We start from the raw sequence: 23657 nt of genomic DNA on the forward strand, positions 1-23657 counted from the left end.
CTTTCTTTCTTTCTCTCTTTTCTTCCTTTTTTTTTTTTTTTGACAGAGTCTCACTCTGTCACCCAGGCTAGAGTGCAATGGCATGATCTCGGCTCACTACCACCTCCGCCTCCAGGGTTCAAGCGATTGTCCTGCCTCAGCCTCCCAAGTAGCTGGAACTACAGGCACGTGCCACCACACCCTGCTAATTTTTTGTATTAGTAGAGACAGGGTTTCACCGTGTTGGCCACTGACTTCATGATCCCAAAGTGCTGGGATTACAGTGCCTCGGCCTCCCAAAGTGCTGGGATTACAGTGCCTTGGCCTCCCAAAGTGCTGGGATTACAGGTGTGATCCCACTAATGGTTTTTTCATGACCTATCTTGTGTGCTCCTAGGTAAAATCAGATGGAGAGCAGGAGAACTTCCTGCGACACTTTTGAGGGACAGGCATGTAGGAACTGCTGCAATTTGAGGTTGGAGAAAGGTAAAGGTCGCACTGTGAGAATCGGGGAAAATCCTCTGTTACTGGGGAGTGGGTTGGGGAGCTGAGAGAATCCCCCCTTCACTCTCTTTTCTCACAGGTGCATAAGAAGAGAGGCCTGATGAGGTCTGAAGGCAGGGGAGGGCAGGTAGCTGAGAGAAGTAGATTTTCTGGTCTTTCACTGAGTGTGAGGCAGCTACTGCCCGTGGTTGGGCAAGGGATGGGAGCCCTGAGAGATTCTTGAGGTGCAGAGATAGAGGCTTGCTGAAGATGAAAGTGGACAGGAAAGCTAAGAGAGGCTCCAATGCTGACCATGGCACTCTGCAAGAAGAGAAAATCTGTATGTAGAGGTTTCTGAGGGAAAATCGTGAGTTCAGTTTTGGATATATATTACTTTTGAAATCAAGTGTCCAAGTAGATATATCAGTTATGCCGTTAGATAATTTATTATAAGCCTGGAGTTCAAAAGGAGGTCCAAAAGGAGAATTGAAAGGGATGAGACTTGCTGAGCCCCTCCAAAGAGTGTGTGGTGAGGGAGAAGAGAAGAGGACCAGGAACTGAGCTCTGGAGCTCTCCTATAGGAGGTGTCATGCAAAAGATGAGGAAGAAACAAAGGAAGCCGAAGTGGTAGCTCCAGTGAGACAGGCTGAGAATCAAGTGAATGTGCCATCCTGGAAGCCAAGTGAAGAAATTATACTGTGAAGAAGGTAGTGATTATTTGTGTCAAATGCTGCTAATAGGCCAATTAAAGTTATAGTGAAAAATGATCATTGGATCTAGCAATGTGGAGATTATTGGTAACTTTGACAAAAGTGGTGTCAATATCATGATCGAAAAAGGGGGAGAGAGCCTGATTGGGATATATTTAAGAAACAATGAGAGGAGACGAATTGAAGAAAGAGAGTATGGACAACTATTTTAAGATGTTTTGCTGAAAAGTAGAGCAAAAAATGGGATGACAGCTGGCATCAGAAGAAAAGCAAGGACATTCTTTTTCTTAGATCAGAAAAACAACAGCATATTTGTATGCTGATGGTAATAATTTACTAGCATCAAAATTGATGACATAGTCGTGATATAGTGAACTGCAACAGGAAAATCCCCAAGTACACAGCAAAGAGGGAATATAATACACAAATTTAAAAATTATTTGAATCTCTGAAACATCTGTTTTGATATTAACCTTTCATTCCTGCAATAGTTATTTTAAGCATGTTCTCATTTTCTCTTGTTCAGTGTTGCCAGATTATTATAAAGTGTATTAGACTTTTTGAAAAACATTTTTAAAAATACTAGTTTTTTCTCATTTGTTTCATTAATTTATATTTTGTATTTATAATTTTCCCTTTATCTTCTTTAGGGTTATTATGCTGTTTTTTTTCCAAAAGCCCCCAAAATGCGTGCTTAGCCCATTAAATTTTAGCCATTTTTGTATTGAAAGTAATGTTACCCATTTCTGTGTGGTTACCTGTAATATACCGTGAGCAGCACTTCTTGGTGTCTTTGCTCCTTATTAATTCACTTGTCTGAAGTTCCTTTAACTCTGCTTTCTGGTCCTCAGTTTCACTTTGCAAATCATTTTTTATTCATAACCATATAAAACATAATTTATTTTGAAAAGTCTCTCATATAATTTTCACTTATTCTAGGATTATAATTTTTCCGTTTGTCTCTTAGAATAAAACTTTCAGATTTGTCAACACTCATTTAGCAGTAGCTCCTATTGATAGGATTCCATCCATCTCTTTTGACCTAGTAAGTGAATATAACAATAGATGCCATAGAAATTCAATCCTGTCAGATCTAACTGCCTACATATAAATTTCCATGTCCCGCAAAGGCATCTCATTGAGGTCATGTTCTGTTGTATCCTTACTTTGTATCTTGAGATGCTTGGTGGGGCATGGAAATTTATATGCAGGCAGTTTCATCTGACAGGATTGAATTTCAGCAGCATCCATTATTATATCCACTCACTAGGTCAAAAGACATGGATGGAATCTTATCAACAGGAGCTACTGCTAAATGAGTCTCTTTTCTATTTTTCCCTATTATAATCCTAGTGAAGCTGTAAATATTAGGTTCTTGAACCCACAGGACTGATTCTAGGATCTTGTCTGGCCAGGGATATAGCCTTCTCATCTGCAGAACCTTATAGTAATCAGCTACCAACTTACCTGGGGATAAGAGAATTGAAAAAAGAAGGAGAATAAGGAGAAGCACATGGAGTCTCACGGCTGAAGGGCCAGCATCAATGTGGGTTGAGCCTGGATTCTCTGGGCATTGTGGGTCTGGGCCTTTTTATGATGCTCTCTGAGTCTGTGATTTGTTCTTGGTCAGTAGAGCCTAACGAAAAGAGAATAACTAAATCTCCCACAGGAAACTTCCAGGGACACACAAGTACATAAATGTGGTGATATCTCAATGGATGAGAAAGCAGGTGAATGCTATTTATTTCCCAAAGATTCAGGATGTCTTTATTGTCACCTGCTTTCTTTATTATTTTTGACATGCACATGCAATAATCATTGATCTCACTTTATACATCTATTGTTTGCCAGGCAATATAGTAGGAACTGAAGTAAAACTGTTATACACAAACAGTACATAATTAATGGATATAGTTTGGCAAGTTTGCACATATATATTATCTTGTTACCACACCAATATCCAGGTAATAATATATCCATCACCTCCAAATGTTTCCTACGTCCCTTTGTTGTTGTTGTTGTTGTTGTCAGAACCCCTAAGATCGACCCTCTTAACAAATTGTTAAATACAAAGTACCTCATTGTTAACTATAGGTACTATGTTTTGGAGCCTATCTCTGTAATTGACTCATTTTGTATAGCTTTAACCCTTGAACAATAACTCCCCATATTGCTCTTTCCCCACTCAATAAAACACTAAACTCTTTTAAAGCACATTCTATATAATCCACTTTATGAAGCTTTTCCTAACACTTTTTTATCTGTTCCCCCCCAGTAAAGGGAACTACTAATATAACAATTACCTATTTTGGATTATTGTGTCTTTTACAAACATTCTTTTATGAACCCATTTAACACTTATCTCCCATTATCTTATTATGAAGTAAAATAAAACTTGACGTGATTTTAAAAACGAAATCACAAAAGGGCTTTGTAAAATTATGATGTACCATTGCTTATTTGTAAGAATTCAAGTTACACTAGGGGTTTTTAAAAATCTTTTGTTTTTATTTGTTGCATATTGTAAGCACAGTGTCTTTTCCAGCTATTTGCTTTGGGAAGAAAAGTTAGAGTTACAATGAACATCATAGGCTATCTTGTCTAGTCACTTACGTTACAGATGAGGAAATGAGCTGAGGGAAAGGAAGAAACTTGCCCAGGATCACCCAGTGATCTAGCGAGGAAGGCGATAGGGACAGCACTAAGGCTTGGTATTCTGAGCCTCATTCTATTTTCTCCTCTTGCCCCTTCTCTGTTTCCTCCTCTCTTCCCCAGCCTTCCAGAAAAACTTTACAGTTCTGCTGCAATGTCTACCTAAGGACATCAGAGGAGACCTCACTTTTCATTAGACTGCTTTTTTAAGCACTGTCTTGCATTTTCTTCTTCAGTCTTGTTGTATCCCATTTTTGGCTATAAGTAATGCTTCTGCTGTGCTGTTCTATCCAATTAGTTTCTTCTATTTTCATTGAAAGAAAATTAAAACAAAAAACCTTTAGTTTATCTAAATTTGGAAGTTTTAAAACTTGATTAGAATTTCCTGGGATATGGATGTAAGACATATATTTTAAAATATTTTTCATTTTCAAAATTAAAAATCAAACGCATATATTTAGCCGGGATGACTACTTGATAACTACTCATCAGATGGGTCTTCAGCAACACCACCAGGATAAAAATCTTATAAATCAATTCCCTGGTGTTATGTGCTACTGAGTTAACACAATTTGATATGGTATCACATTTAACCAGGCTTTACGGAGTCACACAAAGGAACAGCACAACAGAACCATAGGGTGGAATGTATAGGGAAAGCTGGGATGTAAAACCCAGCCTTGACTCTGACATTTACTCCACTGTTGGGAAAAGCACTTCAGTTCCCAGAGCCTTAATATTTTCCTCTATAAAACAGGAAAAATAGAGCCATATTTAAGGTTTTGTCAAATCTTGTTGCTGAGTGATTTTACAGTGTCTGCAGCTATCCTCTCTGCTAATCATAACAAGGCTAACGAACTGTTCTTTTGTTTAGTTAAAGATATTTTTGCATTTGTTTACAAATTCTTATTCTTCCCTTCACAGAAAAGGAAACATTTTAAAGGTAATTTATAAAAGGTTAAGAGTCTCTTACATATCAACTCTTCGCAATGTGATAGAGTAGCTTAACCCCATCCCTAAGAGTATAGTTTCAGATCAGCCCCAAACCTATGTGGAATGTGGGATACAGAATATATTTCAAACACATGCAAAGGCACACACACGTGCGCACACACACACACACACACACCCAGTATTACCTAAGGCAGAGGTGCAGATGACAATCTTGGATAGACAGCTCAAAACTCTTAGTACTAAAATAATCCTAATAATAATTTTCCTTTCAAAGTCACCACCAACAATCAGATCTCTTAAGGGTTGGTGCCTTAGGTTTTCGAGCCTTGTGTATCTTTTGGCTTTCTTTTTTGGTTGTGTGCTATTTATGTCATAGAAAGAAACCTCTTCTTCATCCTATGCCAGTGCTGTATTGTAGGGGCTTGTTGACGTCTTCCTGGTATGTAGCAATCCAGGTGACTGGCCTCGGGCTTCTTAAGAGCAAGGCCATCACATGCTTTTGTTCTTTGTCTGCTTGTTTCCTTGTAAGGGCCCCACATACAGTGGGCGCTTAACAAAAATTTGATCAACTGAACTCATTTTCCATCTCCGTTCTCTCCACTTCAATCTCTCCCTTTTACTTCTTCCAGATTAGTTTTCCTACAGCAAAATGGGAATTGCCCAAAAACTGCCCTTCATCTTTATAACTTGAAGGATTCATTTACCCTAAGCCGTCCTTTTAAATTTACTATTACAGACTAGATAGAAAAGTCTGGGTTCACCAAGAATAGGCATGTGTGCCACCATATTTTCTGTTGAAAACTTTGGAAAGTGTCTTTTAGCAAACAACATAAAGCATAGAATTTGACCATCCCTTACAATGTACAAGGATCATCCACATTCTCACATGTCCATGGCTACTTTCCCACTCCTTCCCCAACCTTTTTTTTTTTTTTTTTTTTTTTTTGAGACGGAGTCTCGCTCTGTCGCCCAGGCTGGAGTGCAGTGGCGGGATCTCGGCTCACTGCAAGCTCCGCCTCCCGGGTTCACGCCATTCTCCTGCCTCAGCCTCCCGAGTAGCTGGGACTACAGGCGCCCGCCACTACGCCCGGCTAATTTTTTGTATTTTTAGTAGAGACGGGGTTTCACCGTTTTAGCCGGGATGGTCTCGATCTCCTGACCTCGTGATCCGCCCGCCTCGGCCTCCCAAAGTGCTGGGATTACAGGCGTGAGCCACCGCGCCCGGCCTTCCTTCCCCAACCTTGAAATCCTGAATTCAAAAGAAAATATGAGAAGATAGTTTGCCTCATATAAGGCAACAGGTTGCTTAATCTTTCTTGCCTATACACATTCAAGAGCTCCAGAAAACTTTCTGATCTACTTAGGATGCCTGATCATCTTCTTGGGTAAAAGCAATAAGTCCTACACAGAATCACCAAAACCATGTCTGTTCAAGGGGTCTTATACCTGTGATACATGATTGCATGCTCAATGCAGAAGGGCATGCTCTGTTGCAGGGTCATATCTGGTCATTGTGTTTAAGTTCTAATTTAGAAGACTAGTTGCTGAGGAGGAAGAGGGAAGGATAATGTTAGGAAATGGAATCAAACTTAAGGGGAAAAGTCCAGTACAGGGGACCAACAGTACTGAGGGGCAATAGGTTGAAGATTTCTTAGATTATTGCAATATTTCCAAGGAGACCCCCACGAATCCTTCCTGGCTGACCCCACCAAAGCTTTGGCATAGCCTTTATGCCAAATGTCTTAGACTAACTAACTTTTCCAAAAGAAAATAGAGGAGTTATGGAGACCAATATTTAGTAGAATAATGCCTGATTATTTTGCTTTTGAGGTCTAGTAACTGCTAGTAAACTTGCCTAATTAATTCACATTTAGAAGTAGAGTAAAGAGGGTTTCAAGCACTTGAAACACCACTGACTTCATTTCATGTGAGAGTTGCTATGGAGAGCTAATGAACTATGAGGCTGCAGGTCTCTCAGCCAATAGGTCTTCTAGATTTCCTATGTGACTCCCTTTTCTGGTCATAGGCGATTTTGCTTTTGCTTTGAGTGTTATAGCACCATAAGGTGTCAGACACTCTACTCTTACCAAGTCTTACACAAAGTTTATCTTGTTATTTGGTGGAGCTTGGCTCATAAAAAAAAAAAAAAGAGAGAATGATAAAGAGGAGGACAGCAATCCTCACGGCTGAGGAAAGAAGAAAGCTTGGCTTTATTTCCAGTAGGCAGAGAAAACTTCCGTCTGTGACTCTCTAGCACCAGTGGAATGTCTCTGTTTGGATAATAAGTGTCCTTCCATACCTCATTAGGCATATTCACAGAGATGTACTGTGCACACAAAATAACCTTCATGGGACGACTGAGAGTCCATGTTTTATTGGACACTAAGTTCATTAGAATGATGTGGGTGCACAGTTTTGACCAGAAAACCTTGTTAAATGGGAACATAAGCTACAAATATTTTGGCAAAAGATTAAGGTTTATGGACAAACAACCATTTATATTAAGTTACAATTAATTAGGCCATGTTGAGAAACCTTTTAGTTTAGTTAATGATTAGACATTTTGTTAGTGAACACTTCCCAGATTTTACTAGCCCTATTAATCCCCACTTTGCCCCTGGTCTGAACCCCCACAGTGCCTTGTTTATGGTACAGTGCCTACTGCCTTGTATGTTAGATTAGTGAACGTATATTTGCCTCCTCTACTACTGAAGGAGCTTCTTGTTTGCCAGGACAGGGCTATATTCCTCAGAGCTGAGGAGGAGTTGAATCATGTGGTCATTTATTCTCAAATCCTCTTCATCAAGTGAAGCAAAACAGGACAGTGAAAAGTCACTGCACATGGAAGCAGGAGGTCTGGATTTCAGTTCTAAATCTCTAGATCTATTACTAACTGGAGGTATGGATAGAGTCAGGAAAATTTTCTTCCTTAAGTCTTGATAGCACCTATGTAGGTCCAGATCCGTTGGACCTAGATAAGGGGATTCTCAATAATTACTGTGCATAAAATCAACTGAAAGAGTTAGTTTGCAATGCAGATTCTTAGCCCCATTCTATGAAATTTTTACTGTTTCATAAATTGATAAATAATTTTTATTAGACAATGTAAATTTCCTTACTTGTACCAGCATACAAAAATATTGAGAAATATTAGCAGCAGAATCTTTCAACAAAATAACTATGTATAGCTATTAAACCACTTTGTTTCACTGCTTTTTATTTTCTTTTATTTATCACTATTGTCTTCATTATTATCATCACACATTATTGAACACCCATCATGGACCATATGGCATAAACATTGTTTCTGCTCATAAGGAGTATGTATTCTCTACATGTTTATAAAATTAATGCCTGAATAAGTTTGATTAAACAAGGCAGAAGTTGATTTCTTTTTCACTTAAAATTAACCTGTAGTTATACCATTCAGGGCTAGTACAGATACTTTCTAATATCATTAGGGATGCAGGTCCCTTCCAGCTCTCTGCTCTGCTATACTTTAGAAAAGGTCCTAGTTTGGCTGATAAATTCCCACCTATTATTTCTGAATTCTAGACAGCAGGGAGAAAAAAGGCATGAGAGAAGGGCAAAGGAACATCTACCCTTCCTTTTTAAATTTTTTAACCAACCCCCCTTAAAAACACTTTGTTGAGACATGATTACATTCAAAAAGCTGTACCTATTTAATGTGTATATCTCAGTGAGTTTGAGAATAAGGGTACATTGTGAAAGCATCACTGCCATCAAGATTATAAACATATTCATCACCTCCCAAAGTTCTCCCTCCCATTCTAATTATTATTTTTATTGGTAAGAATAATTAACATAAAATTCACCCTCCTATTATATTTTAAGTATGCAATACAGTATTCATAGCTATAAGCACTATGCTGTAAATTAGACCTCCTGAACTTATTTATGTGGTATATCTAAAACTTTGTACTATAATCACACCTACACACTTACCTGCACCACAGCTCCTGGCCAGTCTACCCTCTGCTTCTGAGTTTTTTTTTGAGATTTCAAATACAAGTGAAATCATACAGTATTTGTCATTCTGTGTTTGGTTTATTTCACATGACTTCATGCCCTTCAGATCCATCAATGTTGTCACAAATGACAGGGTTTCATTATTATATAATACTGAATAATATTCCATTGTGCATATATATATATAACATTAATTCAGCCGTCCATGAATGAATGATAACATGTATGACTTCTTCATAGATCTTGACTATTGTGAACAGTACTGAAAGGAACATAGGAGCGCAGATATCTCTTTCACATACTGATTTCAATGACTTCATATATATATATTTACATATATATATATGGATATATATATTATATATAAAATAAGTGGGATTGCTGGAACAAAATGGTATTTTTATTGTTAATTTTTTGAGAAACCTCCATACTATTTTCCAAGGTGGCCGTACTAATTTACATTCCCACCACCAGTATACAAAGGTTCCCTTTTCTCCACATCCTTACCGCCACTTGTTATCATCCATCTTTTTGATAATAGCTATTCTAACAGGTGTGAGGTGATATTTCTTGGTAGTTTTCATTTGCATTCCCGTGATGACTAGAGAGGGTAAGAATTGTTTATATATATGTTGTCCATTTGTATCTCCTTTTTCGAGAAATGCCTGCTCATATATCTTTGTTCATTTTTTACGTTTTTAATTTTTATTTTAGACACAGAGGATACATGTGCAGGTTTGTTACATGGATGTATTGTGTGCTGCTGAGGTTTAGAGTATGAATGATCTCATCACACACGTAGTGAACATAATACCCAATAGGTAGTTTTTCAGGCCTTGCACCCAACCCTCCCTCCTCCCTCTAAGAATCTCCAGTGTCTGTTGTTTCCATATAAGTGAGAGCTAAACAGTGTATAACCCAATGTTTAGCTCTCACTTATACATGAGAATATGTAGTATTTGGTTTTCTGTTCCTGCATACCACACCACACTGGGCTAATTTTTGTATTTTTGGTAAAGATGGGGTAGCTTCAGCATGTTGGCCAGGCTGGTCTTGAACTCCTGAGTTCATGCGATCCACCCACCTCACAAAGTGCTGACATAACAGGCATGAGCCACTGCACCTGGCTTTTCTGAACTTTTTTAGCTTATATTAGGTTTGTCTGTTCTAGAATTTTGTATACATTTATTTATATTATAGGACACTTTTTAGCTTAGCTTTCCTCTCTCGGGGTTAGAAAGATTATATTGATCCATGATCATGATGTCGATTCGTAGAGTTGATTATTCCCATTTATTGATAAATATTACTCTATAATATGCATATAATTTATCAATTTCCTCTCAATAGACATTTGAGCTGTTCCCAGGCTTCAGCTATTGTTAATAGAACTCAAGGACACATTTTTAAAAGAAAAAATTTCAACCCAAAATGTCCTTTCCTTTTGGCTCTCCAATATTGTGTCAGAGTTATATTTTTGTTGTCTTGAAAATCCAATTACATTGAACAGGAGGTGTCTCTAGAATCAAGGTTCAGTATATGTGTGGTCTGGCTGTGTCCTGGAATGTAGCCCTTATTAGTTTTATTGAGCATTTTCCTATATAAATTGAAATCAAGTTGAAGACTCATTTTTCCACAGTAGGACAAATAGAACAGTTTAGGACTTTGGAGAGATAGCAACTTGCTGCTTGCCTGTGCAACCCACCTCAAAAGATACAACTCCTCCAACTTTTGATTTCTGGTGACTTGTCCAAACAATTAGATGTGAATTGACCTTATTCCCTTACATTACTACAAGTCGATCTTCTGCACCTGGCCAAATACAGTATAAAATTGATGAGCATACGTTTCTTTTAGTTTCATATTTTCTATTTAAAGCTACTCTCTTTGGCTGGGCACTATGGCTCATGACTGTAATCCCAGCAGTTTGGAAGGCCAAGATAGGTGGATCACTTGAGGCCAGGGGTTTGAGACCTGCCTGACCAACATGATGAAAGCTGTCTTTCCGAAAAATACAAAAATTTTCTGGGTGTGGTGGCACGTGCCTGTAATCCCAGCTACTCAGGAGGCTGAGGCAGGAGAATCACTTGAACCCAGGAGGCAGAAGGTGCAGTGAGCCAAGATCCCGCCTCTGCATTCCATCCTGGGTGACAGAATTAACCTCCATCTCAAAAAAATAAAAAGCTAATCTATACTTTTCTTTTGGTGCATTATTAGAACATAGAAGGCAATAAGGCAAAACTATTGTGGGTATATTAGTGCGTATCTGTAGCACCTAGCACAGCGCCTAGCCCATAACTTGTGTTGAAAATTAAGAGAACCTTCTTAATATCACTTTTCCCCACTCTAGTTCTGAATTTAAAGAAAGAAAAAGGTAGGTTAGCAAATATAGGTATCAGTTATTTCTATTGACAGATCATTTGGAGAACATGTTTTTGGGCGTGGGAGAAAAAAGATTCCTAACTCTCCGCCCCAGAAATAATTTTGCTGACACAAAAATCAGCCAGACATGGTGGCACAGGCCTATAATCCCAGCTACTTAGGAGGATGAGTTTGAGGATAAGGATACATTGTGAAAAAGGTGGGAAAATCACTTGAACACAGGAGGCAGAGATTGCAGTGAGCCAAGAGTGTCCCACTGCACTCCAGCCTAGGCAACAGAGAAAGACTCTGTCTGAAAGAAAAAAAATGTTGTTGCTATATAGCACATAATTTTATTGTCATCTCATTTAAAATTGAATAGTACATTTGGGTTGAATTTTTATGCCTGCAGAGACATTTGCTTCTTGCTTAAAATCGCTGGCTGTAGGAGGAAACTCCAGCAGAGGACATCATAACGATTTCATAGTGTCTATGGTCATCTTGGTAATTCCTCAGATAATTCCTGGCAATTCTGTTAGGTCTTGAACTTCACTTACTTCTTACATGTTTAATAAAAAGAAGTTCAAAACATTGCCAGGGCTGTTGAATTCCCACAGGCTTGTCTTCCCTTTAAAATTTATCACATGGTTTGTACTCCTTTGCAGATATAATACGTAAGTTTGGAGGTGGATGCTTTCAGCCATTAAGTTCAAAAGTACTGCCACAAGGGCCAGGCATGGTGGCTCACACCTGTAATCCCAACCCTTTGGGAGGTCAAAGCAAGCAGATCACGAGATCAGGAAACTGAGACCATCCTAGCCAACATGGTGAAATCCCATCTGTACTAAAAGTACAAAAATTAGCTGAGTGTGGTAGTATGTGCCTGTAGTCCCAGCTACTTGGGAGGCTGAGGCAGGAGGATTGCTTGAACCCGGGAGGCAGAGGTTGCAGTGAGTCGAGATTGCGCCATTGCAGCGCAGCCTGGTTACAGAGTGAGACTCCGTCTCCCAGAAAAAAAAAAAAAAAAGTACTGCTACATGGACATCCATTGTCCCAGCATCTCTGCCATAATAGCTGAGGAATTATCGAGAATGTCTGTTAATTTCTTTAACTCCAAAATTGTGTTATGTCCCTTGGTCTCCTGTCATACCATAAATTGTATTATTCATAAAATGGACACTTCGTCTATAGTTATTTCTTCTCAGTATGCTACATCCCTTTAGAATTTAAACATACAGTGTCTCCCAACCTGAAATTTGAAGTTTTGAAAAACCAGAAAAATGTTTTCGGACACCTTTTATTTCCAGCTGTTTTTGTGTCCTCTCCGGAATCCAAGTTGAGGGTAAAGTCCATTCATCAGCATTTCTCCTCAACCCACAACAACCTCATCCCACTCCAATATGATGTTTGTCCCCACAAATTGATGCACACAATTCTTGCTGGCAGTGGTAATGTCCTAATAAAAAAAATCATGAGAGGCATCAGACTTGACTTTATTTTCTAGCTCAGCAGAATTTGATTCCTGTCTGATAAGGAAACCCTATTTTCCCTAGAAACTTTTCACTTTTGTCACAGGTTTGGTTCCCAGGGAACTGGATATAGATGAAGTTTAGTGTGCACGATGTTTATTAGGAAGTGATGTCAGGATCCACATCTGTGGAAAGGATTGGAGGGAAGCCTTATGTGCAAAGGGACAAGTCTAATGGCAGTGCAGCCTGACATTGTCACCTGGCCATACGGACAGAGCTGTAGAGCTAAGAAGTCCTCTCCTATTTGTCCCAACTGAATCAAATGGCAAAGCCTATGTACCCCTTGCCTCCATTAATGATTGTGTGCTTGCCACTTGTGGAGGATGAGACTTCGAAGCAGGTGGCTTTCTGTGGCTGAAGAAAACCTTAAATGTGCTGACAAAGTTTTCCAAAGAGACAGAGAATGGCATCTGCCATGTATGTTGCCCCTTTCCAAAGAGGAAGCAACAAGGGTAATGGCCTCCAATGGCTCTGTATGCAGATAGGTGGACAGTAATGTCTGTCCCTCCTGTGACCTAAGAAGAACAGATGGCAGACATGGAGCCAGGCAGTTAGAGGTGACACAGTGTTAGGAGATAAACATCTGTCAGAAGCAGTGCTTCTTTGAATCAGGTGTGACACGAGCCTTGCATCCCTTGCATGGACCCCTTCCCCATTATCCTGCTGTCCTACCTCATGAAGGTGGGTGGGGGCTGGCTGGTGGGCAGTCCCAGTACCAGGTACACTTTGCCTGCAGTGTTTCCACATGAGTTCCAAGGTAGCCCATGTGGTCATCCATGAACTTTGTGTTTTCCTTATGCTGCTTGTCCTTTGCCTTTGAGGAACACGTTTCATTGGACTCTGAGTCCAAACAACTCACGTGTCCCTATATCTGTACATTGTCCTTCACTTAGGGGAATCTCTAATCTCTAATGCCATTGTTTTATTTTTACTATTAATATTATAATAATTAACATTGTCATTATTATCTTCATTGTTGATGTTCAGTTATATTTATTAATAGAGTTACTATGAATTATTATATTGTGGCTACTTACACCAAGATGAAGATAATTTATTAGTTCAGGAAGAATCTGCATTCTGAAGGCAAATAGAAGTTCCAGCTACAGATGGGCAGACACATGCCCTCTCAATTCCTGATGGACCTCCTAGTGCCTCCTGGACCTAAGGGGCCTCCCTCAATGTTTCAAGATGCCACCAAGGCAGGGATCAGCTCGTGCATTCCTGAGAACATCCACGATGAAGTGAGGCTCTGGAAAAATGCAAGAGTTTCCACATAATCCCAAAAAACCCTAAAGGTGAACTGGATGCCACAGAAAGAGGAGTGGTCTTTGTCACAACAAAATCAACAAAATTATTTCGAAGTCAATTAGGAAACTCAGAAATCACTCTTGCTGCCATTAAGAGGAAGAATAGGAGCCTGTGAATGGCATCCCTGGCCTACCTGAGACTCCACAGATATTTCTATGTGGCTTCAGACACCAGAAATCTCCCTGATTTTCAGAAAGGCAGGGACAGCTCCTGCCAGCCCATCCCTCTGCAGAATGTGTCCCAGCAGATCAGTGGCATGGAACCATCATGGACAGCACAAAGGCTCAAGGGCAGCATCCCAGGCCGGCCTGTGACTCTAGATAAGTTCTGAGTCCCCATGGGGGCTCAGGAAAGGTTAGTGATGACCTGGAAAGAAGGGACAGGCTGAAACCGCCCCTACGCTATCTGCAGGATTCCAACTTCAGCAGGAAGCCAAGGACCAACTCGTACCACACCTGCGCCCTCTGAAAACGCTGGATACAATCCCACTCTGCAGAAAGTTCCACATAGAAGTGGCTGGGAATTTTGCATTCTAGACTGCATTTTACAGTGCCTCTGGACATGTGATGAGAAATTTAACATTGGTGTATCTAACTCTGACATTTTTCACGAAGTGATTTTTTAAAATGTGGTAAAAAAGACAAAATATAATTCAAACATATGCATTATATGTCAAAGTATGCTTCGCTGGCATCAAGTAGACTCACCTTGAGATACAATCTTGGACAACCTCCATCTTCAGAATATCTACTTTTTCAAACCGAAACTCTCCAACCAAAAATCAATAACATCAAAAGTTTGCAAATACAAGCCGACGGAAAATAAATACATGAATTCTACCACAGTGAATTGGACCGCACTGGGAAACACAGATGAAGAAAGTCAATACCGCTTTGTCCTTCAGTGCCTGGCTCCTTTTTCAGCTCGTCTTGCTACTCTAGGCATTATGCCTGAAAAGTCTCCCAGGTGCCTGTGAGGCTCTAATTCCCTGGGTCCCATTGCCATGTCTCTGGATTTGCGAAGATCCACCGGACCTTCTGTGGAACTCCCGTGTCGGTGAACTTTTGTGCCACGTCCCCTAATTCTGCCCATGGTCATCTGCAGCTGCACGAGTTAGGGTCGGTGTTCCTTGGACGGGAAGAGACAGGCAGGAGTCGGAATGCTGAACCAGCACACTGGGGCGTTTTCTCATGTAGCCCAAGTGACCCAAGGTCTTCTTGAGCTTTGGAACCAGTCGCGTCCCACTTGACACAGCACCCGACTCCCAGTTTCTCAATCGTGTTGGCCCTCCGGCGATCTCCCGTTGGATGAATTGCACAGGCTGAAACTCGAGTCCCCTTTGATTTGCGCTTCATTAATTATTCATGATTCAGGTTGGAAGGCCTGCTGACGACCCCCTGTGGCCGTTCTCTGAGCTTTCCTGTCACATCGTTTCCTTCCACGCTCTTTGGTTCCTTGTGGTCCTGCTCCTTCTGCTGTCAGAGGAGCAGAGAGTTGATCTTATTGATTCTGGATACGGATACTTTCTAGGTGATCTGGATAATCAGGATAACGACCCTCAACAGCGGCGGAAAGGGAGCAGCCATTTGGTGTGTCTCAGAAAATCGCGCTCAGTTCCGAGGCCTCCTAGATGTGGAATCCTGCTCAGAGTTGTTCCCAGGTCAGAGAATGGAGAGAGCCTGGGCATGATGGGATATCCCTGCCTAGATCTTTCAGTGAGTCTCTACCTCAGCTACTCTTAGGATCAGGGGGAGAACCATGGAAAGGCCCGGTGTCAGACATCCGGAAAGAAGATGGGATGAATGTTTTACCTCTGAAGTACATCCCAAATCTGGGAGTTAACTTCAGCTTTGCTGGGCTCTATTTGGCCAGTGAAACTCTGCCTGGTTCATTCGCACATCCGGAAGCCACTTCACGGGGGGCCGTCGCAACTGGAACCACACACTTGGCATCGGCGGTTGAGCCAAATGGGGACTCGTGGTGCAAGCAACGCTCCCCACGTGTTAGCGTGCGTGAGATTCAGTTGGCGGAATTTTACTAGGTGTGTGTTGGTAGAGTGGGGCTGAGGTTTTCTTGCTCCTGTGGATGTATACGAAGTCAAAGGTCCTGCCCAGCCCTGCGGTCCCCTCAGTCAACTCTGTTTCAGAGACATAACGATTTGGATTGAGAACAAGTCAAGAAATTTTCAAGCCCTTGGATGTAGGGAAAAGAAAGAGAGATCAGACTGTCACTGTGTCTATGTAGAAAGGGAAGACATGAGACTCCATTTTGAAAAAGACCTGTACTTTAAACAATTGCTTTGCTGAGATGTTGTTCATTTGTAGCTTTGCCCCAGCCACTTTGCCCCAGCCGCTTTGACCCAACTTGGAGCTCACAAAAACCTGTGTTGTATAAAATCAAGGTTTAAGGGATCTAGGGCCGTGCAGGACGTGCCTTGTTAACCACATGTTTACAAGCAGTATACTTGGTAAAAGACATTGCCATTCTCTAGTCTCAATAAACCAGGGGCACAATGCACCGTGGAAAGCCGCAGGGACCTCTGCCCTTGAAAGCAGGGTATTGTCCAAGGTTTCTCCCCATGTGATAGTCTGAAATATGGCCTCATGGGATGAGAAAGACCTGACTGTCCCCCAGCCTGACACCCGTAAAGGGTCTGTGCTGAGGTGGATTAGTCAAAGAGGAAAGCCTCTTGCAGTTGAGATGGAGGAAGGCCACTGTCTCCTGCTCGCCCCTGGGAACTGAATGTCTCGGTGTAAAACCCGATCGTACATTTATTCAACTCTGAGCTAGGAGAAAAGCTGCCCTGTGGCGGGAGGCGAGACATGTTGGCAGTAGTGCTGCCTTGTTATTCTTTACTCCACTGAGATATTTGGGTGGAGAGAAACATAAATCTGGCCTACGTGCACGTCCAGGCATAGTACCTTCCCTTGAACTTAATTATGATATAGATTCTTTTGCTCACATGTTTTTTTTGTTGACCTTCTCCTTCTTATCACCCTGCTCTCCTACTACATTCCTTTTTGCTGAAGTAATGAAAATCATAATAAAAAAAACTGAGGGAACTCAGAGGCCGGTGCCGGTGCAGGTCCTTGGTGTGCTGAGTGCCGGTCCCCTGGACCCAGTGTTGTTTCCCTATACTTTGTCTCTGTGTCTTATTTCTTTTCTCCGTCTCTCATCCCACCCGACTAGAAACACCCACAGGTGTGGAGGGGCAGGCCACCCCTTCACTTGGAAAATCAGTTAAACACAAACACGGAATGAAAGTCAAAAGACAATATGTCATCTTTTTGAGAATTTTATTCACTTCAAAACAAATTCAACACACCTATTTACAAAGGGATTCCAGAGCCCACTTTTCGAGGCTGAGGAAAGACCCCGAGAGCGCTTTGCACAGCGCGCTTCCCAGCGTCCGAAACACTGCTCTCAGGGCGGGGCACAGCGGAAGGGCTGCACCTCTCAGGGTTCCCTAACTTTTCCCTTATTCAGTCGTCTAGAGAGCAAATACACAGTAATTCCCCCGTTTCCTATTGACGTCCCAGCGGAAGTCTGACTCCTGCGCGTCATGCAGTTTCTGAGGCAACGAATCACTGGCACGGAAGCTTTTCCTGGCGCGTTTCCAGAGAACCATGCGAACTACAATGTCCCTCACCAGAATTCAACGTGGCAGAGTCCCTGCATCTGCTCCCTGCCTGGCCTGGGCTCCCACATCCACAGAAGGGCCACAGCCGGGGAGCTTCGGAGTCACCGCACAGAGTCTGCTCTCTGCTCTGTGCTCCTCAGTCCCACAGTCCCCTCCAAGTCACGGGAGCTGGAGGCCAAGGAGCCCCTGCCACCTGCAGTCTCACTCCAGGTCAGAATCGCTGTCCTCTGAGGAGGAGGGAACCTGAAGGTCCTCATAGAGGACGCTTGGTGGGACACGAACACAGGGACCCTCAGACTTCTCTGAGACATGAGGGCTCTGAGCGAGGAAGGCTCCCGGCTTCTCAGGAGAGTGAAATGAGGGGGCCGTCAGCAGGCTGGAGCTCCAGCGTCCGTTTTCCAGTCTCCGAAAGAGCACTCTGAGAGGCTGGGCCCCATCATGGCTGGCCGCTGGGTGATGGGACATGGTGCAGGCCTGGGCAGTAGGCAGGCAAGGTCTGCTGTGCGGAGGCTGCCGGTCGCCGCTAAGCACCTGGGCGGGTGTCCTCGTGCCTGTCTGGGGTGACGTACGTGGTCCAAGTTCGGTTGCGGCTGGCGGAGGTTGGAGATTCTCCGGGGCCCCCAGCTCACCTCCCTGGATGGCGCTTTCGGGGATCTGGAAGGGACCCAGTCTCGGTTTCTTGGGGAAGTTCAGGCAAGCCTGAATCGGAGCCGGGGCAGATCTCTTGGCTCCTGGCCCGAAGCTGAGATTGGAGCCTAGGCCCAAGCTGTGTGTGGCGGCTGGTGGGCAGGGCTGTGAGGTCACCGCAGGACGTTTGTCTTGTGCCTGGGGGCTGACGGCCTGGAGCAGGCCGTGGGTTTTGGAGGCAGCCTGGGGAACTTCTCGACAGCCACCCGCAGGGCTGCTGTGTGTCGGCTTCACCACGAGGAGAGGCTCGGGGCCCTGGTGCCTGACTGCAGTCTGAGGGATGTCGGCCGCAGCCCCTGTCTGTCTTTCCTTTGGTCCAAGACTTGAGGAGGAGCTCAGACTGGCTTTTCTGAGGGGAGACAGTGAAGCTAAGACGGAGCCCCTGTCAGACATTTCGGTAGCTGAGCGATCAGAGAGGACAGGGTCCACACGCGGCCTCTTACTGGTTGTGTGGACCGGCATTGGCCCGCTTGCAACCTGAAAGAGAGGAAACAACACAGGTTAGAAGTTCCTCAGCATGGAGCCAACATGAAAATCAACCACATCCAAAGACAAGGTGCACACGCCATGAAATTCTTAGTACACTATCGACAGGCGGTCCTTGGAAGTAGGGACAGACCCTCCACCTGAGTGCTGATCAGGACAAGACACATGAAAGATGCGCTCTCGAGCTATGTGTAGCTGATCTAAGCACACCATTGTTCAAAAGATTGCGTCTTAGGCATTAGCTGGATCAAAGCGCCTCCACTCAGCCTTCCATGAAGTGGAACCGACTGATGCCCTTCCGAAGGCAGGTTGGTGGCTCAAGGGTACTCAGGACGTCTTCTCTGAACATATGCATGTTCCTGGGTTTAGCCTTCTCCACGTTTGGGGCCTCTGAGGGACTAATTTCCTCATGCCGCTAGGAACGTGTTGTTGGCAGGCTTGCCATAATTGGACAGAAAGAAAGCAACAGGAAATACGGCATCTTCAGATGCCTTCGCCTGGAATCAAATTGACCTGGAAGGATCGTGGAGTGTCTGACCCCAAGAAGGCAAGAAAGAGGGGTTCCCCGATTCCCTCCCGCAGACGGGAAGCTGAAAGGAAATCAACCAGGGTGACCTAGAGGAGAAAAAGACCAGGGGCCCAGGGTGACCCTCACCCTCAGATAATCAGAAGATTCCGTGGATCCTTTTTGATTTGGCAGCGGCTTCTCTGGAGGTTTCCTGGAAAATATGTGGAGGAGAGCCTTCCTCTGCGGGTCTTGTGGCCTGCAGAACAGAAAAAGGTCAGGCCGTCCTCCCTGGTTTTCCCCAGGAGACGGGGAGAACCCTGTCTGGGGCCCAGTCCCATTCCGTGTTTTGTGATACAGAAATGGACATCTGGTGCCCTTTCCGCCTCTGCACCTTCCCTCACGTGCCAACCTTCCCATCCTCCAGGTGGCCCTCTAGGCTTCCCAACTAAGGACTGTGATTTGGATTCCATCACTTTTCCCCCTGTCGTGGGGAACCTGCACGAAGCGCCCCCGCCCCTCCCCGTCCCTGAATCTCCCAGAGCCAAAGGAGCTCTTGGGTGTGGAACTCCGGAAGACACAGAGCTCCGGTCTGTTTCTCTGCAGCGTTCCTTCCCTGGCCCGGAGACGGAAAGGCACACGGTGTGCAGGTGCAGAGACACCATGTCCTTAGGAGGCAGTACCCTAAGAGTGGTGAAAACCACTCCCACTGCTCACCTTGGTCTCTCTTCCTTCTCTCCCTTATCCTTGTTCAAGGGCCCAGGGTTCGCTTCAACCTGGGGCTTCCATGGTTTCAGGTTTTCCTTCCCTTCCTTTTCCCCAAAGTTCGGTGGAACCAGGGCTGCCTTCCAGCACTTCATGGGGCACCTGGTACTTCTGGCCGTGTGGCCAAAGGCCTCACAGTTTTTGCACTTGAGCTGTGGGTGGAAAGGAAGTGATGTCAGTGAGTGAGCTGAAGCCACAGGCACCGATCCCACGTCAACATTGAGACGGATTGTGAATTCAGAGCTGAATAAGGATTCCAAAGAGGGGACACCGGCATGGGGGCCGTTAAGTGCTGGGAGAGTTCGGATACGATGTTCCCTCCCAAAGCCCATGTGACGGAGGAACTCTAAAAGGCAGGACTCAAGGTCCTAAGGGGCACGATGGTGAACCCGATGTCAACAACACAGCCAAACGTGGCTACACAGGACTCTAAGTAGAAAGGGAGGTTGCCCCCAAGAGTCTCTCAAGGGGCCTATCGGGCCGGGGAGGAGGTCCCAAGCCACGCCCACCTTGGATGGGAAAAGCAACCTGGGTGGTGGTGACAGAACTCTTTGGAATCCAACCCAGTCTCTGAGGACCGTGTGACACCCCGTCCCCCCGCCCCCACCCCCACCCCAATACCCAAGAGATCCAGGGCTAGACTTACCCTGGGATCTTCTTCATCGGGCGGGGGAGCCCTTGGCCCAACTGGGGCCCTCCGCTGCTTCTGGAGGGTCTGGGCTCTCACCAGTCTCTTTGCCCCAGGTTTGGGGTCACGACGTGCCATCATCTTCGTCTCCTGGGGGTTTTATGACCGCCTTTTTCAGGGGTTGATTGTCGGGTCACCTGAAACACACACAAACACACACAAGTCGATGGTTAAGCACATTGGATATTCACACACCCACAGGAAGCCCCCCGCTAATTCCTTGCCGGTGTGGTCATGAGGAGACCTCACCACCAGTCGGTCAAATCTGTGGAACACAATGTGCTGTGTGCATCCTCAGATATTGTGTGTTCCTCTGCCATGATTACCTAGTCCAAGAGTAAACCTCGCCTGCCACAGGGCCCGTGGCCTAGGTATGGGGAGTTGAGCTTTCAACCCCAAACTAACAACTGATTCTGGAGACTGGACTTAGGTCTATCACGATTCACTCCGGTAGAAGACACGATGACTCTATCTCCCTTGACCGACAGAATGATCGAAGCCACAGGGCATGGCGTGTGTCACCCTTTGGCAGGTCTGTTTGAAATCTGGGATAAGGGATGCCTCCTGTCACAACTTGAATCGCTACTCTTGCCGTTTCATTAGGCAACTTCCAAACACAAATTCATAGAGAGAAGTTATCTTCCTCTCTACCACACTAGCAGGTGATGGTCTTTCCTGTTCTATCTTTTTGGCTTTAGCTCCAGCCCCTCTTTATTTATTTTTCTGGTATTTTACGCATGCCACACGAATTCATCTAAACGAACGGTGAACAAGTGCCATATCGTATCAATGTCTTACACGGCTGAAGGGCAAACCACCCTTTTTTCCAAAGTCCTTTTTCCATTTACCCACCAATTCAGCATGCTGCAGTACATTTCTTTTCGCATTCCCACCTTGGTCTTATCCCACACATGGAGACGGAAATGCTTTCTCGTTTTCTGTTCCAAGAATTACTAGTAACGAGAGCACACCCTACCGCATCAGCAAGCCCCAGTGTGATCGCTTTCTTTCGGCCTCCTTTGTCTCTTTTCCCCCCCACCCCTCAGGGATTGCGTGAAACAAACAACTGTTCAGTGAAACTAACCTGAAATTACACGTCTACTTTCTTTCCCCGGCTGGCGCTGAGATGGGCAGGTGCTGGAGCAGCCCCGCTGGAAGCGATGCAGCATCCAGGAAGACGGAGGAAGGGGCAGAGAGGGACCTCTGCTTTCCAGGCTGCCTTTTATACTGCCTCTGGTCACCTGACGTGGAACGTACCCTAACCTAATCAGTTACATGTAGGTTAATTACAATTAACTTAATCCAATTACATGACTCGGAAAGGTCTATCTGCACAGCCCACTCTAAGATCATGTCCACTGCTGACAGACATTCTAAAACCTACGTGTACAGCTGCAAGCTTTGAAGAATAGATGTTCCCCGTCAGATATGTAACACTGGTGCCTGTACCCCTGTCTTCTTTTCCATCTTTTTTGTTTTTGTGTTTTGTTTTGTTTTAAAAAATGTGGTAAAATAGACACCTTTTAATTGGACCATATTTACTCTATCTCGACGTAGGCCTCCGTGTCATCATGGAGATTCTCCTTGACATGCAGTCACGGCCATGATCCATCTTCAGAGCTTCTCTTTCTTCCCCACGGTAGGTCTGTCAGCAGAGAACCCTGACCACACACTCATGTGTTTTCTCCTCCAGAATGCGCTTGGAAACCACCGTGAATTGGAGCGCACTGGGAAACACAGATGAAGAAAGTCAACACCGCTTTGTCCTTCAGTGCCTGGCTCCCTTTTCAGCTGGTCTTGAGACTCCAGGCATTGGAGTCCAGGGAGGGGCACGCCGCCTTTACCTTGTGCTTCCCACGATCTTGTCTCCTTAATCCCCACTGCAGCTCTCTGCCATAGGGTCTTATACTGCTTTACATGTGGGAAACTGAAGCTCAGAGGGTTTCACAGCAGGGCAGGGAGCCCAGATGTGAATCTGTACATACCAAGCTTTCTAATTTTTCAGTAGTTTCCAAGCATCTTTTTTTTTTTCTTGTTTCTTCATTGATGTCTTTTTTTTTTTTTTTTTTTTTTTTTGAGACACAGTCTCTGTCGCCCAGGCTGGGGTGCAGTGGTGTGATCTCAGCTCACTGCAACCTCCGCGTCTCACAGTCAAGCAATTCTCATGCCTCAGCCTCCCGAGTAGCTGGGACTACAGGTGCCCACTACACCCAGCTTATTTTGGTATTTTTAGTAGAAACAGGGTTTCACCATGTTGGCCAGGCTGGTCTTGAACTCCTGACCTCAGGTGATCCACCTGCCTTGGCCTCCCAATATGCTGGAATTATTGATATGAGCCATTGTGCCCGGTCATGTCATTGTTGCCTTAACCAAGCCTCTTTTAATTTTTCAAACGGAAGAGCCCCTGTCCCTCAGTTACTGCTGCTGAGCCCTTTCAAGATGACTCAGTGAGGAGGGGGAAAAGCAGAAGCGGTGTGGGAAGAGGCGGGGTCTGGGCCAGCTGCTGGTCCTGCTCTCCTCCCTCCTTTGGCCTCTAGGCTCCCAGGAGTGGTTTGGAACCTGCGCCGTGTGCTCTGGGGGCTGTGGCAGGGCAGGGGCGGCTTGGAACCTGCGCCATGTGATCTGGGGGCTGTGTCAGGGCAGCGGGAGTCCTCGTGTCCCCTGCGCACAACACAGACAGAAGGCTGGGTCCACCCAGTGGGCGGTCGGGTGCCAGGCCAGTGCTTACCCCGCCATGTTTTCAAGCCCGAGGCCAGCTGGCTGCAGGTGCAGGGCTATGCGTCAGGGGTCAGGGTGCACACATCCCTGCAGGTCTCGGGGCTCCTGGGTTGCTTCTGGAAGGGCCCGGATGGGGCCTGACTGGAGCTGCCGAGGGGTGGAGCTTCTGGGAAAAGGATCCCTCCTAGGGGGAGTGTCT

The 23657-nt window shown here is 44.5% G+C and overlaps 1 protein-coding gene and 1 pseudogene across 7 annotated transcripts, besides 2 other annotated features; both read right to left on the minus strand.

Annotated features, from left to right (window-relative positions):
- The window catches only part of DEFB109F (defensin beta 109F (pseudogene)), a 19313-nt pseudogene extending 4413 nt beyond the window's left edge, over window positions 1-14900 (minus strand).
- Window positions 17249-23607, minus strand: FAM90A1 (family with sequence similarity 90 member A1). 7 transcript variants are annotated; one of them, XM_047429059.1, is made up of 7 exons: window positions 23469-23607; window positions 22283-22467; window positions 21825-21981; window positions 20699-20877; window positions 20005-20204; window positions 19438-19546; window positions 17249-18773 (listed from the first exon to the last, which is right to left on the minus strand). In XM_047429059.1, exons 4-7 carry the CDS (start codon window positions 20819-20821, stop codon window positions 17811-17813), a joined length of 1395 nt encoding a protein of 464 aa, XP_047285015.1. In that variant the 5' UTR covers window positions 20822-20877; window positions 21825-21981; window positions 22283-22467; window positions 23469-23607; the 3' UTR covers window positions 17249-17810. The 7 variants fall into 7 exon arrangements, with proteins under 7 accessions (XP_047285015.1, XP_016875036.1, NP_060558.3 ...); XM_017019547.2 differs by having other exon boundaries at window positions 21825-22003; NM_018088.3 differs by having other exon boundaries at window positions 22261-22467.
- Window positions 19250-20449: an enhancer, noted in NCBI's record as "CDK7 strongly-dependent group 2 enhancer chr12:8375857-8377056 (GRCh37/hg19 assembly coordinates)". NCBI's record gives its function as "activates an origin of replication core promoter dependent on BRD2, BRD4, P300/CBP, MED14 and CDK7 cofactors, with strong dependence on CDK7, by STARR-seq in HCT116 cells {active_cell/tissue: HCT116}" and the evidence as "EXISTENCE:reporter gene assay evidence [ECO:0000049][PMID:35650434]".
- Window positions 23169-23218: an enhancer, noted in NCBI's record as "active region_5931". NCBI's record gives its function as "activates an Ori minimal core promoter by ATAC-STARR-seq in GM12878 lymphoblastoid cells {active_cell/tissue: GM12878}" and the evidence as "EXISTENCE:reporter gene assay evidence [ECO:0000049][PMID:35858748]".

Source organism: Homo sapiens, chromosome 12, assembly GCF_000001405.40.
Source record: "Homo sapiens chromosome 12, GRCh38.p14 Primary Assembly".
Lineage (NCBI taxonomy): Eukaryota > Metazoa > Chordata > Mammalia > Primates > Hominidae > Homo > Homo sapiens.

Excerpts from the sequence above, each read along its gene's own strand:
- FAM90A1 (XM_024449030.2), bottom strand. The coding sequence starts at position 20,821 with ATGATGGCACGTCGTGACCCCAAACCTGGGGCAAAGAGACTGGTGAGA. Across the intron at positions 19,547-20,004 it reads GAGAAGGAAGAGAGACCAAG|GCCACAAGACCCGCAGAGGA; the intron begins GTGAGCAGTGGG and ends TCTGTTCTGCAG. Across the intron at positions 18,774-19,437 it reads AATCTTCTGATTATCTGAGG|GTTGCAAGCGGGCCAATGCC; the intron begins GTGAGGGTCACC and ends CCTCTCTTTCAG.